The sequence below is a fragment of the Homo sapiens genome, chromosome 3 (assembly GCF_000001405.40).
Source record: "Homo sapiens chromosome 3, GRCh38.p14 Primary Assembly".
Lineage (NCBI taxonomy): Eukaryota > Metazoa > Chordata > Mammalia > Primates > Hominidae > Homo > Homo sapiens.
Window position 1 is genome coordinate 177,063,550 of NC_000003.12, and position 15,891 is coordinate 177,079,440.

General features: G+C 37.8%; 1 protein-coding gene across 18 annotated transcripts in view; it reads right to left on the minus strand.

Moving 5' to 3' along the window:
- The window catches only part of TBL1XR1 (TBL1X/Y related 1), a 182,457-nt gene that overhangs the window by 44,206 nt on the left and 122,360 nt on the right, over nucleotides 1–15,891 (minus strand). For 12 of the 18 annotated variants that reach the window (NM_001374327.1, XM_011513142.3, NM_024665.7 and 9 more), the window contains one exon: nucleotides 1,371–1,473. The exons of the other annotated variants lie outside the window; for them this stretch is intronic. In NM_001374327.1, coding sequence (NP_001361256.1) covers nucleotides 1,371–1,428 — 58 coding nt within the window. In that variant the 5' untranslated portion in view covers nucleotides 1,429–1,473. The remainder of the gene's footprint in view (nucleotides 1–1,370; nucleotides 1,474–15,891) is intronic. 18 annotated transcript variants of the gene reach the window in all.

Sequence of the window (15,891 nt, forward strand, 5' to 3'; positions counted from 1 at the left end):
TGAAAGTGCTACACAACTTTCAAACACAAGTATTTGAAATTGTTAAACTTGTTTACAAGTTACATACGTAACAATCACTAGTCACTACTTTTTCACTTTATTAATCATTTTATCTTATTCAAAACATTCTTTAGATCTGCCTTCAGTACCAGTCTACCAGTTTAAACAAAGAAAACAAAACAAGAGCTATTAACTTCAAAGCTTCATTATAAATTATTCTCTGTGGGCTTGGATACTAATCTCTCTTTCCCTCCCTGTCCTTCTGGACATCACTTTCACAGCTGTTACACCTCAGAGAGGGGCAGTGATGGTGCTTGGGAATAGAAAACCCCTACCCCCAAAAAATGCTCAGCACTGAAGAACAGCTGGGAACATCTCAGCAAGCAACAGGCTCTCAGACCGAAAGCCATGTTTGTATTCCTTGCATAGGAAAGGACAACTAACTATGCCATACAAGAAGAATGATTCAAGTCTCAAAACCATAAACTGGGGGCTCAATATTCTACAAGCTTAGACCTCTACTTTATCCTTCCATCCTCCCTCACACTTGACTACCAAAATTATCTTTTTTATGGGGCACCTCACCTTACTGCTAAAACATTACAGTAACTTTAAGGTATAATTTCTAAAATTCAATCTCTAGACCATGACATTTAAAATCACCAAATGCTTTCATTTTTTAGTAGCAATCGGCATTTCCATTGCAATTAATCTTTCTCACCATCCTATACCTCCACCCATACCCAACCATGTTCCCTCTTCTACTTTTAAATTTTTGCTTAATCCATCCACATTTCCCCTTGCAGTATTCCTTCTGTTTTATCTATCAATAAAACTTGGAAGATCACTGATTGATTTAATATTAGTTGCAAATGGCTTTCAATGATTTCTATTTATAATTACTCCCATTACAATAATAACAATTCAGATCAAGGATACACTTAATTCAAATAATAATTTTGAAAGCATTCTAGGAAAATACTGTTAATTTAATTTCCAAAATACTAACTACAATTAGGACCAACAACATTTAATTGAGAATTCTGGATATACATTATCAAACTGATGGTGGCTAAAAGTTTTTATGTTCCTACTACATATGCAATAATCTCACCTCATAACAGATTATAAAAATGGTCTTTGAACAACGAAAGCCAAACTGTTACAAATAATTGCCTTGTTTGCAACATATTTGAAAGAGTCAGAGAGTTAAACCATGCAGTAAAACATAGCTTTAAAATGGCAGTCCAGACATTAAGAAAACATACAAAGTTCAACGGTTTGGACTGATACAAATTTCAAATGCATAAAAGATTATTTTGAGAATATTAAAATAATTTGAGGCCTATTTACTTTATAAAAGTACTCACCTGACTCTTGCAAGTATCTATATACCAAGAAGTTGACCTCATCACTGCTTATACTCATCTTTATTCCCACTTAAACCATGAGGTCACAACACAGGATATAACCCTAAAAATAAAACAAAGTTAATTATTTTCTCAGTAAAATATTTTTAAACAAGATGTAAACAATGTTGTAAAAACCATTTGATTTTATTAAATGATGTAAAACGAAGGTTCTACATTGCCTAATAATAAAACCTGACAAAGTTGCTTCCAATAGTTAGGAAAATGATTATACAACCAAAACATGGCTGGTGTTATTTTTCTTCAAAGTAACATACTGGCAAAAATAAAACAAAATTTTTTAGAGGGCTTTAGCATAATATTTTAATGATTTTATCAAATAGCATAAAATGTTGCTCACTTTTTCTCCTTAACTGTAAAAAGAAGTAAATTTTAAAAATAAAAAATATTAGTTATTTGCAAGAAGGCTGATTTAGTTAAAAAAGAATATCAGTTACTTGGGAAAAGACCATTGGGTGGGGTAGAACCATGAGTTATCCACTCCAGTTTTATCTATGAAACTTGGCAGGATATGAAGTCTCTATTTTCTCACCATCTCATCTGTAATGTTCAAGTCTCAAAAAGCTCTAGGTATGTATGAGATAGGCTGGAATACAGTTCCCAAAACTCAAATGATGCTTTCTTACTGGACATACTTAAACCTTAACACGAAGTGGGGGAAAAAAGAAAACTGAGGCATGACTCAAATATATCTAATTATACTTATTTGTCCTCATGTCACAGAAATGACTGAAAGGAGAGGTCAGGAAACTTTTATATAAAGAGCCAAACAATAAATATTTCAGGCTTTATCAGCCATACAGCCTGTTACAATTACTCAATTCTGCTGTGTGGTGCAAAAGCAGCAACACACAATATGTAAACAAACGAGTGTGGCTGTGTTCCAATAAACTCAACTTATGGACACTGAAATTTGAATTTCATAATATCATTGTATCATAAAGTATTATTCTTCTGATTTTTTTTTCCTAAGCACTTATAAAAATGTAAAGACCTTTCTTTGCTTGTGATTCTTATAAAAGGAAAGCGAGCTAGATTTGGTCCACAGAGTGTAGTTTGCCAATTCCTCTTTAAAAATGATATATTCACATCTATTCAGCATAAAGAAATATCTAACGTGGAACTATGCTGGTTGTCCTGCCACATCATGGATTTCTTTATGATACAGTTAGCAGATTTTTTAAAAAAATCAAAAATTAACAAGCATTTGAGTAGGCTACCAGGTGACAAACTGCTACTGCCCTACATTGAGGACAAAGTGGTGACTAAGTACCACCCATCAAGCTTGTCATAGGGAGAAAGACAAATGGGAGGCAATGACAATTTTCTAGTGGACACACACAGAAGAAGCCCTAACTAAAGTTAGCAGTCTAGGAACACATTTAGAAGGAGTGTCCTTGGTATTCAGACTAAAGGAGGGGCACGAAAACAAGGGTGCTTGGGGAAGGGAGGGAGTGAACAGAAGCATCCCATGAGCTGCAGCAGGTGTGGAAGGAATGAGTGAGGACAGAGACGAGTAAGGCTTGAAATGCAGGCAGAAACTATATTCAGGAGGACCTTCAAGGCAGCACTAAGAGAAAACAAATCCATTAAACAGTTTCAGGAAGAGCAGGGAAAAGCACAGACTATAAAGAAGCTAGATTGGAGTAAGAGGAATTAGGGAGCCAAATTAGGAAAATATTGCAGTAACTCAGGAGAAGACTAAATCCTGGACTGTCACAGAGGAACACTGGGGTTCCAAAAATATTTAGAAGGTAGACTCAATGGTAACTGACTGGATGCATAGTTGAGGCATAGTTGAGGAAAAGGAAAGAATCAAAGGTTTCTCTCTGGACAACTGAACGGTTGGTACTGTCAATTACTGAGATGGGAAACCACAGAGGAAGAGTGACAATTACAATATCTTCATCTAAAGAAAAGGTACCCTCTTCACCAAAAAAATTAATTCAAAGAGTACAATTAACTTTATATAACCTGAATGTTTATTACATGCTTAATGGAATAAGTCAAATACTCTTTTGAGGATACTGGCCCAGGGCACTGGTCTAGATGTACTATAGTACACTAGATGGTAAATGTTCTGGCAGGACACCTTCCTCAACTTTAGCCTAACCACCAGTAAGGTGCGGTATTGTGCTCGGCACACATAGCAGGCACAGTCAATTCTGAAGGCATGCTAAATTGAATGACTTTAAAAACAAAACATCCAACCCCATCCATGATAAAATTATAAGAAATTAAATCATAATTTGATCAATCATGAATATGTTTGTCACGGGGAACAATTAGCAACTATTTTATTTTTAGGATTTCCCAAAATGAGATGGGCTAGGTGGAATCCAACTGAGACAGACTGACAAAGAAACAGTAAATTTTCTTTTCCCCTAATATCATTCAGTCCAAAACTTGGATGAAAGTATCCAACCTGCAAAGGTTTTTCACAATGCTCATTCTGATTAGCAAAGGCCATCAATTTCCCAGCTGAAACTAGTAACAAGTGATGCTTCCAGCACCACCTAATGCATTCCAGGGCAAAGAAAAATACAAATCAAAATGATATAAATTATTGCTTTTAAAAATTCCTGCAATAAATATATATTGCTGGTATATTTTTAAGTCATAATAAAAAATACCAAATAAGAGCAGGAAAGTTATCTGTCCAAACTGCTATAAACTGATTATTTAATTGATCATAGTGCTATATTAGTTCCCGGCAATTAAGTTTTTTTTTTAAAGGAAAAAGACCTTGAAAGGCTTACTTCTAAAACAACTTAAAAGCCTATGTGCCAAAGAGTGAAATTAGAGAAAATGCCACTACTTCATGAGTGGACTTAATAAGGCTTTGCAGAACTTAGAACTTGTCCATTATGGTTTATTTATATAGCCAAATGAACGCTCTAGGATGTGATGTAGTCTTCCCCTGCCCGCATGAGTACTAAATACTAGGAATCAGATCTCAAAGAGTACACAAGAAGACTTACCACTATAGTTCCTCCATTCTGGTATCTTTTAGAACAACTGTCTTTAAACTAGGTCACAAAACAGCACTGAGACACTCATCCAGTCTTTACACTTCACCACCCAGGTATCAGGCCTGATGAAGAGTATATCATGCATAAATGAAGTCCTGCCCTCAAAGAGCTTATGGCTTATTAAATAAACAGGATATTCAAAATAGACACTTCCTAAATTCACAAAGGATTTATTTGTATATTCTACCTGATCATATTTACTCATTCTTAAATATTAACTGAGATCCTCCCAAAAATTAGATCTTTGTAACTTTCCTCCTCTCAGAAATCACTTGTATACTCATAAAAGCTTTTATTTAAAATTCCAATCACTTATAGGCAATCAACTACTTAATTCAAACCATAGCTATATTAATGTAGCCAAAAGCAAATCCAAAATTAGTCTTAATATTTAGCCAATTGGTGGCTATATTCAAAAGTTCGCTTAATATTGTAAATGTTCACCATGAAATATCATTTTACTGCATAACTTTGTAGCCAATAATTCAGCAAATATTACAAAAACACAGGACTAGTGAGGCAATCCAGCTACGACTATTCAGTGAGCTGAATATGTACAGCATTTTCAGCATCACAAAACTCAGTTCAGCATATACTCGCTGGACAACTACTGCTCCAAATATTTAATCCTCTCCTAGTTCTCCTACACATCAAAGTACTACTTTAAATGTCACCCTCAATCAAGACAGACAGCATATTCTTTTCTGATTCCATTCTTGAAGCCAGGGCCCAACTGTGATCCTCGATTACATAATTTTAAATCTAGATGACTGAAAAAAACAGTGAAAGAGTTATGGACACAAAGAAAGAAATAAGATTATCTTCTTAAATCTCCTAGCTATAGCACATTTTTAAGAGATCTGGACACTCTTTGCATGATCTAAAGTCAAATGTGTAATCGAAATTACTTTATCTTACAAACATAACTTAGTCCAAAACTAAAGTATAATTATAACTTAGATGTGACGAACTTAAATTACTTTTCCTTCTCTCTTTCATTGGAATCCAGAGCTCGGATGTAAATTAAAAATAACATCTTGGATGGCCTATATGATTTTAGACAAGTGATGCAAATTTTCTGGGTCTCTGTGTCATCTATAAAATGAGAAAATGGAATCAGACAGTCTCCTCTACTTCTAAACTTCAAAGACGTGAGTCAGTATATGTCACAGAGTTGTATATAGGAACCTTGCAAGCTACCTGAGAGTATGAGGTCATAAAGCAATTTTTAAGAAAGCATTTTTATAGGCCTAAAAAATGTATTAGAAGACCAAAATCAGGGTCAGATCTCAGACAGACATCTCCAGGAATCAGGAAAAGGGAAAACAATAAGCTCATCTCATTAAGAAATATTTCAGTACCTACTGCACATGATGTTTATTAAGACTTATCAACCTTTATAAACACCAACATATAAAGACATAAAAAAAACAGTACACCAGCTGGGCATGGTGGCTTACACTTATAATCCCAGCACTTTGGGAGGCCAAGGCAGGCAGATCACCTGAGGTCAGGAGTTTGACACCAGCCTGATCAACATGGTGAAACCCCATCTCTACAAAAAAAAATACAAAAAAATTACCCAGGCATGGTGGCGCAGGCCTGTAATCTCAGCTACTCGGGAGGCTGAAGAATGAGAATTGCTTGAACCCGGGAGGTGGAGGTTACAGTGAGCCGAGATCGCACCACTGCAGTCCAGCCTGGGCAACAGAGGAAAACTCTGACGAAAGAAAAGAAAGAAAGGAAAGGAAAGAAAGGAAGGAAAGGAAGGAAAAGGAAGGAAAGGAAGGAAGGAAGGAAGGAAGGAAGGAAGGAAGGAAGGAAGGAAGGAAGGAAGGAAGGAAAAACAACACACCAAATCAATTATTCATTAGTTAACTGAGACTTCTAGTATCAAACTGGTTTCAACTGTGATCTAAGCCAGGGATCTGCAAACTACAGCCTGTATGTCAAATTCAACCTGTCACCTATATTTGTATAGCCCACAGGTAAGAATGGTTTTCACAAAATGCTTTTTTAAAAAACAGAATATTTGTTGTTTATTTGATGATAGGGAACACTGACTCATAATCTCAATTAAGCAATTTTTTAAAAGTCTCAGCAAAGCTCTTGAGGCTTGAAAGCAGTAAACTAGCATCCATTATATGATGAGTCACTTTGATTTAAGTCCAAGAGTCATTAGCTACAAATTTATTTCTTTTTATACCCAAAAGACCTCTGATGAGCTGCCTCATTGCCCACAGACATTGACTTCAACTTCCTAAATGTATAAAAGTGATTATTTACACAGATTATAACTAAGATCCTTCTAAAACATAAAAATACATATCCTAGGAAATAATAAATATGTATGGAATAACTGAATAAATTACAGTCAAGGTATATCAACAGGGGAACAAAGAAGGACAAGAAATGAAAATGCTAAGAGATAAGAAGATAGGTCATACTTCTGGTACATATTTTCAATAACTAAGCAGTAATCAGTCACAGAACTTAAGGTAAAGCAATGTCAGTCTGGCAAAGAATTAGAAAGTCAGACACGAAAAATAAAAATTGGCCAGGTGCGGTGGCTCACATCTGTAATCCTAGCACTTTGGGGGGCCGAGGCGGGTGGATCACCTGAGGTCAGGAGTTCAGGGCCAGCCTGGCCAACGTGGCGAAACCCCATCTCTACTAAAATACAAAAATTAGCCAGCATGAGGCAGGTGCCTGTAATCCCAGTTACTCAGGACGCTGAGATGGGAGAATCGCTTGAACCCAGGAGACGGTAGCTGCAGTGAGCTGAGATTGCACCACTGCACTCCAGCCTGGGCAGCTAAGCAAGACTCCGTCTCAAAAAAAAAATAAATAAATAAATAAAAATAAACTAAAATCAAGATCTGTCAAAATCTGTCTGACTAGCATAAAATACTGAGTGTGTCTGAATAGGAATCTGTATTACAATAGAAAGCTAATGAGACTTTATCAACTAAAACTAACTACTTATTCTAGCTTTGGAACAGACATGTTCTGAGAATCTGTTTTTTTTTTTTTTTTTGAGACAGAGTTTTGCTCTGTTGCCCAGGCTAGAGTGTGGTGGTGCGATCTCGGCTCACTGCAAGCTCCGCCTCCCAGGTTCACGCCATTCTACTGCCTTAGCCTCCCGAGCAGCTGGGACTATAGGCACCCGCCACCGTGCCCGGCTAATTTTTTGTATTTTCAGTAGAGACGGGGTTTCATCTAAGAATCTCAAAGAGTGGAACACATGCTAAAGCTTTACAAGGACAGTTAATCACCTGAATAGATAGGAACTCTGCTTAAAACTCAAATATTATAGGAAGAACAAAGAGAAAAGGAGGCCAGGGTAATAAATACTACCCACAGTAATGTTTATGAAACACTGTATTAGAAGAAGATGTGGTTATTCCTTGGTTCCTCATGAGGGAAAAAAATCCTACGTAACTCAGACTAGTAAGTAAATCAAAACTTGTGTCCATGGATTGGTTATACTCAGTCAATTCTCTGGAAGGGCTAGAGTAAAAATGTCCAAAAGATTGTTCAGGAAGCAGAAATATGTGATTGATAACAGCCCAAGTATCAAAGTATAGTTTTAAAAAAAAACTGTGAAGAGATCAACATCCATCCCCCACAGGGCAATAAATGCTCGCTCAAATCGAGTGAAGACGATGCAAACTAAATTTAGTACTCAGCTAATAGATTGACACATACAGATGTGCACTCACACACAACCCAGCTACTAGTAAACCCAGAAGAAAAAGGGAAAAGTATATGGAGTAAAGATAACTGACATAAATTGGAGAAGGCTTCCAACTTTTATTGAAAACTAGGAGAAATCCACCATGAAAGTCTCATAGGTCAATTTCACAGGATGAGAGAAAACAGTTGGCAGTACTGTCATATAAAATGTACTATTTAAAAAACAGGCAAACAAAAAAGCCCCCAGGGCACATGGGCTGGGGAGAAGAGAAGTACATCACTCCATAACCACACTGAGGCCCTACCGTGTACATTCCTTATATGTGCCCTACCCAGTCAAGTTACAGATTCTAACTGCAAAGTTAACTCTTAATATTTCTTAATAGAATAGTACCTTCTTAGAAGATTCTTTCTTAAAAGACACACAGCAATGTACTTCACTGTTAAGGCTGTTCAAGGTGTTCAAAACTTAAAATCAGATACGGTATTCTATTATACTAATGACAAAATGTGATCAACTTTTTATTTAGCATAGTAATTGGGATCCGTAGACCCCTGGAGTTCCCAAGACTTTTTAAGGGAACTGTGAGGTCAAAATTACTTTTATGGTATTACTAAGATATTACTTGCATTTTTCACTCCATTGGCATTTGCACCAATGTTACAAAGCGATAGTGGGTAAAACTGCTCACACCTTAGTATTACGAATCAAGACCTGATGGTATTACTAGTAGTCATTGTATTTTTTCACCACTATGCACTCAAAAAAAAAAAAAAAATTCCCTGAAGAATATCCTTGAATGAAACAGAAAAGGTGATATTATGAAAATCTTAAATGTTCAAATACACATCTTTTTAATATGCTGTGTGTGTAACAAAGTGCTAAGTAACAGAGTTACTTCCGTTGCATACTAAAATGATGGTTGTCTCAAAAAACAGGACTGCAATGGTTTGAATTGCAAGTTACACTAGCCACTTTTTTCATGGAACAGCGTTTATACTTCAAAGAAGAAATGACAATATAGTTATTCAGACTGGGGATTTGGCAGACATTTTCCTGCAAATGAATGAAATGGCCAGGCGCAGTGGCTCACGCCTGTAATCCCAACACTTTGAGAAGCCGAGGCGGGTGGATCACTTGAGGTCAGGAGTTCGAGACCAGCCTGGCCAACATGGCGAAACCCTGTCTCTATTAAAAATACAAAAATTAGCCAGGTGTGGTGGCATGCACCTGTAATCTCAGCTACTTGGGGGGTTGGGGCAGGAGAATCGCTTGAACCCAGGAGGTGGAGGTTGCAGTGAGCCAAGACAGGACCACTGCACTCCAACCTGGGTGACAAAGAGAGAGTTTGATTTCAAAAAAAGAAAAAAAATACATTAGTAAGTAATACAAAATTTCCATTTTAATATCTGATACATTTAATATTGATAACTATAACCCACATAAACAAAAGCTCTTTGAGATCATCAATAAATTAAGATTGTAACAAGATCCTAAGACCAAAATGTTTGAGACCTATTGAGTCCCTCATGGCAATATTGGTGACAAATATTTTTGTCAAAGAGTTTCTCTGGAAAAACTGGAAAACAGGCTCCTTAGCCCACAGTACTGGTCATATTTTAACACAACCTAAATCTTTAGTTTGGTTTCTGTTGTGTTCATGTTGGAATACATATTGATAAGTTTATACTTAATAAACAAAAAAGGTACTTAAAAGCCATAAATATCAGAGTATCAAAGCTCTAGTTTTGATATAACACATGGCATCTACTAACTCTAAAACATATTGGAGGAATGAAAATTATAAATTTTCTGAGACTACACTTCTATAAATGGACTTCTATTTGGAAAGATTCAATCATTTTACTTAAATTTAGTTTTTCTATCATGCATGTAACAAATGTTTTACTGAGTACTACACTACACGCCTGCCACTGTTCTAGGCCCTTAACACTGTAGCAATATAGAAATCCATTAATATAAAGGAACAATACAGTGAAGAGTGGGCTTCATAGCCAAACTTACCCCATTTGCTACCAAACTTTAGTAGAAGGTGTAGCGGAGTGTGGAAGCTGCAGTAAAGGCGCACTGCTCCCGCAACACACTGTCTTTCCTTCTGGTGGGATTCAGCACGTTTTTGTTTGTTTTGCCCAGACTCATCACTTGTATTGTAGAAGGTGCCAAAGGGTTGCAATCCCTTTCCTTCTAACCAAAACTTGAAACTAGTCTCTCTCTTGCAGCATTTATTTCCCAAGAAAACCCATTCAGGACTCCAAACATGGGGTAGCGTTCTTTACCACATACACAGCAACAAAGAATGCAGGTCTTTGGTACTGGAGAATTGATTCATTACATACTCAACCTGTTTGCTACATAAGGAATAAAGGGAGCAGGGCTAGCTGGGCAAAAAATCTGAAATTCTTTATAGCCAGATTTCCAAGTTATACCTGGTACAGTTTCCATACCCATCCCTGTGTACCTTGAGGATACGTAAGAAAGAACAGAGGAGATGTAGGGAGTGAAAGAGCTAGAGAATAGAGAGGCATATGTGTTTAATAATGCCAAGAAACTAGTCTACACTCACACTGCTATTCCTGACTGCATCAATAATTGCTGTGGATATATTAGAAGATATTCAAGCATAAGATAGGGTTTTCCTTCTTTCCAAAGTCCTTGCGTATGAGCCATGATCAACCTCTTTACCAACAGGAAGCCTAAGCCTAGGGAAAAATGTGAGTAAGCACAGCTCTCCCTACGCTTCTATCAACGCTTTCCCTAGATCAACCTTTTTCTTACCAACCACCTCAAAATCGGGCACTATTTCACTAATTAACCTCTCTGCCTTGACAACTTCCTCATCCCCACCTTCTCGTGAGCCTGAAATCTGATCCCCGGCATTCTAACATCAACGGAGCCCACTGCCCTTTTCAAACAGACTTATATTCCAAGTTTTCTATGCTACCTCCCCAACCCTCACCGCCACCAAGTATATTTCGTTCCTTAAAGCCAGGTAGGTGACAGGCTGAACAACCTAATATAACAAAATGTTAATGAATAATATCTTAATGTTTTGCTTTCCAAGGAACTTACTTATATCACAATAAAGACATAAATACATTTTAACTCAATCTTTCTCAAACTTGAGTAATATTAAGTACCTTAATATTTCTGAAACATGTGAAGGTGAACACCATGCACAACACGGTTTAGGAATTTGTGGTTTATCCATTCTGGTAATCTGTACAAAATGTAATGATGTAAGACAACAGCCCCAAAGACCACAAAGTACTCTCAAAATCCACATGTCCTTCTGCATCAGTTTCCCAGCGCTACTGTGATAGCTACAACAAACTGGGCCACTTAAAATTACAACAGAAACTAATTGTCTCATAGTTCTATGGCTAGAAGCCTGAAGTGAACTGTGTTGGCAGTGCCACGATCCCTCCAACGGAAAAGAGAGTCGTTCTATCCATCTTCCAGCTTCGGTAGCACCCGGCATTCCTTGGCTTGTAGCGGCAAAATTAGTCTCTGCCTCCATTTTCACATGGCCACCTTGCTTTGTGTCTGAGTCTTTACGTGGCATTCTCCTCTTTGTGTGTTGTCTGTGTCCAAATTTCCCTCTTTTTATAAAAACACCAGTCATACTGGAATAGGGCCCATGCCAATAACGTCATCTTAACTTGATTTACAAAGATCTTATTTCCATTCCAAATAAGTCACATTCACAGGTACTGGGAGTTGGCACCTCAACATATCTTTGTGGGGACACAATTCATAATATCTTCTAGCTTTCAAAACTTCCCTACTAATCAGTATAGTGTGGTTCAATACAGATTTCCATCTTAGAAAGAACTAACTCAAGTATATTTCACTTTTTCAGGCTGAAAAAGTAACAGATTTGAAGGTATGTTTCCCAATCTAAATAGACAGACCCCTCTCCTCCTGCCATCTACTTAGCAGTTAGACTACTCATTACACAATAAAGGTTAAAAAATAAGCTAGCCTCAAGCTAATTTCTTCCTGCCTTGGCTGCCAAACTTCTATTTAAAGGTGCTTTCTAGCAAAGTTCTAAATTAGCGTGACAATAAAGTACCATAAACTAAGAGGCTTAGAACAACAGAAATTTATTGTCTTATAGAAGTCCAAAATCAAGGTGTTCACAGGGCCGCATTCCCTCTGAAGGTGTGCTAAGGAGGGGTCTGTTCCAGGCCTCTCTCCTAGCTTCCTTGGTGTCTTAGTCCATTTGGGGCTACCGGAAAAAAAACAAAAAAACAAAATACAACAAAAAATACCTTAGACGGAAGTTTTTTCTCACAGTTCTGGAGGCTGTGAAGCCCAAGATCAAGGTGCCAGCAGATACAGTGCCTAGTGAAGGCTCTCTGCTTCATAAATGGTGCCTTCTGGCCATGTCCTCCTCATACTGTTTAAGGAGCCTGGGGGTTCCCTTCAACTTCTTTTATAAGGTCACAATTCTATTCACTGAGGGCAAAGCCCTTATGTCTTAAGCACTTCCAAAAAAGCCACCTCTTAATACCACTGCAATGGAGATCAGGTTTCAACATAAATTTTGGAGGGACAAATTCGGACCATAGAGCTTGGCTTGTAGACACATCACTCTAGTCACTTTGCCATGTTCTCCCTGTGTCTTCACACTGTTCTCCCTCTGTATGTGCCCAAATTTTCTCTTTTTTATAAGGACTCCAATCATAAGGTATTACGATCTACCTAAATGATCCCATTTTAACTTAAGTATCTCTATAAGGACCCTATTTCCAAGTAAGATTACATTCTGAGGTACTGGAGGTTAGGACTCCAACTTACGAATTTAGGAGGATACAATTCAATCTATAACAGTCACACTAAGCTGAGAAAGCCTGGGAAGACAAATACAGATTCCATCATTTGCCCCTTCCATGCTGTAGAAGACAGGTACAGACAAGGGTAACAAAAGCCTTTTCTTCTTACCTTCAGTCATCTGTCCACCTTGGTTATCAGAGAATCCCCTTAAAACAAAAAACAAAACTAACCCTAATAATGGTAACTATGATGGCATCAACACATGGGAAGAATCAATTTAAGTGGCTGTAGAGGTTGAATGTATTACTGGTTCAGAATTTAAGCATTCTTTTTTCCTGAAATAGAGTTATTCATCCCCATCCCAGCAACTTGGACCTTGGCTATGTGACCTAATTTGGCCAGTGGAATTCCAGATGATGTGATACACACTATATCCAATCACAAGATTTAAGAGACATTACAAGTGTCTGCCAGCTCTCTTGCTCAACGAGCATGTCCTATATGGGGTCTACTTCAACAGCTTGGCTATCCAAATGAGCAGACAACTGGAAGAGAGCCACAGTCAACCCACCTTATCTACATACAAAATGAATGAGAAAGAACATTTTAGTATTGTAAACCAGTAAAACTGTCTACTAACAAAGAACACTAACACACCTTACAACAGTACTTTCGCTGCATACATCTCTAGGGAATATAATCTAAGAACTAAAAAGAACCACAAAGAAATTTTAAACTGCTTTTGGTAGTCTTATAATAATAGTTTTATTAGTATTATTAACTTGAAACTTTTTATAAATATAGAGCAGGTAAGAAACTATGTTAAATCCATCATAAAAGAAAATTTTCAGAAGGGAAAAATACTTATTTACTTTAGATCTCACCTGAAAATGAGGGGCTTTTGGTGAGATGGAGTCCTTGAGGAAAAGGGAAAATAACTTATATTCACATAATACAAATGAAGCTTTAAAAATCTACACGTTCTAAAATGTATCCAACACCTCTTACAGCCACGTCTCTCTTTCTACAGTACCTATCACCTGTATTATTACGACAGCCTAAGAGTCTCCTAAGTTCTCCATTCTATGGTTCCAAAGTACCTATCTAGCCATATGGTACCACCTTTATATGCACTTTACTCTTCAAGTGAGTATGCTGGTATCATTCTAACATGTCCCACAAATTTCCACTTTTCTGCTTTTAGTTCTGTTTCAACTGCACTTGTTGAAATTTGTCTATTCTTCTTCAAATATTATCTCTTTATGATACCTATTCAAATATCAACATTAAAGATGTCTGGCTACTTTCCTCCTGTACCCCTAAGTGCAGTTTTATTGCTCTTCTCAAAACTGGACAACAGTAAAAAGATTATTGACCAGAAGTCAGAACGTTGACATTTTCTTTTTGATGCTACTGGCTTTTGACATTAAGGCATTACATCAAGTCATTTTAACTTCCCGGAGCCCCAGTTTCTTCAACTGTGAAAGAGAATAAAACCTAATCTATACACCTCACAGGTGGGAATGCATGGAAAAGCCATTTATAACCCACTAAGTGTTAACATTATTATGATGTCACCTTTTAATATGCATATTTTTTCAACCACTACCAAATTATAAGCATTTAAAAAGCAGTCTGTCATGATCTGGTTTCTCTTCAGAATGAATAAATCTTTTGCCTGTTTTAACAAAACAAATCAGCAGCCTGTATCTTATAAGGCACCTAAAACATTATTCAAATATATTTTTAAACTTTCATAAATAATAAAACATAGCTCTCATGCTCCAGCATATAAAATATAATTCGGCTGAGTGCATGGTTCACACTTGTCATTCCATCACTTTGGGGGGCAGAGGCGGGAGGATCACTTGAGCCCTGGGCAACATAGGGAGACCCAGGATCTACAAAAAAAAAAAAATTTTGGTTTTAATTAGCCAGGTATGGTGGCATGAACCTGTAGTCCCAGCTACTTGGGAGGCTGAGGTGGGAGGATCACTTGGGCCCAGGAGTTTGAGGCTGTAGTGAGCTATGATTATACCACCACTGCACTCCAGCTGGGGCGAAAGAGTGAGACCCCCATCTCAAAAAAAAAAAAATAAAGTATAATTCAAGCAGTATTTACATACAGTTTTGCCTTGATTAAAATAAAACAATATCGGCTGGGTGCGGTGGCTCACGTCTGTAATCCCAAACCTTTGGGAGGCCAAGGCGGACAGATCACGAGGTCAGGAGATTGAGACCATCCTGGCTAACACGGTGAAACCCCGTCTCTACTACAAAAAAAATACAAAAAATTAGCCGAGCATGGTGGCGGGCGCCTGTAGTCCCAGCTACTCGGGAGGCTGAGGCAGGAGAATCGCGTGAACCCGGGAGGCAGAGCTTGCAGTGAGCTGAGATTGCACCACTGCACTCCAGCCTGGGCAACGGAGTGAGACTCCGTCTCAAAAGAAAAAAAAAACTGCTAGGGACTTCTCAAAAGGACACAGAAGCCAATTTGAGTACCGATACAGAAAACAATGCAATAACCTAAAACATAAATCTGTGTAAATCCATGCATTCGTAGCATAGGCTATTTTAATGGCAGTTACATCACACTGTTGGCTGATTATTTCTTGGGATGTCGGTATTTCACAAAAAAAATGTCGGCCGGGTGCGGTGGCTCACACCTGTAATCCCAGCACTTTGGAAGGCCGAGGTGGGTGGATCCCGAGGTCAGGAGATCAAGACCATCCTGGCTAACACGGTGAAACCCCGTCTCCACTAAAAAAATACAAAAAATTAGTTGGGCGTGGTGGCAGGCGCCTGTAGTCCCAGCTACTCGGGAGGCTGAAGCAGGAGAATGTCGTGAACTCGGGAGGTGGAGCTTGCAGTGAGCCAAGATCACGACACTGCACTCCAGCCTGGGCGACAGAGCAAGACTCCATTTAAAAAAAAA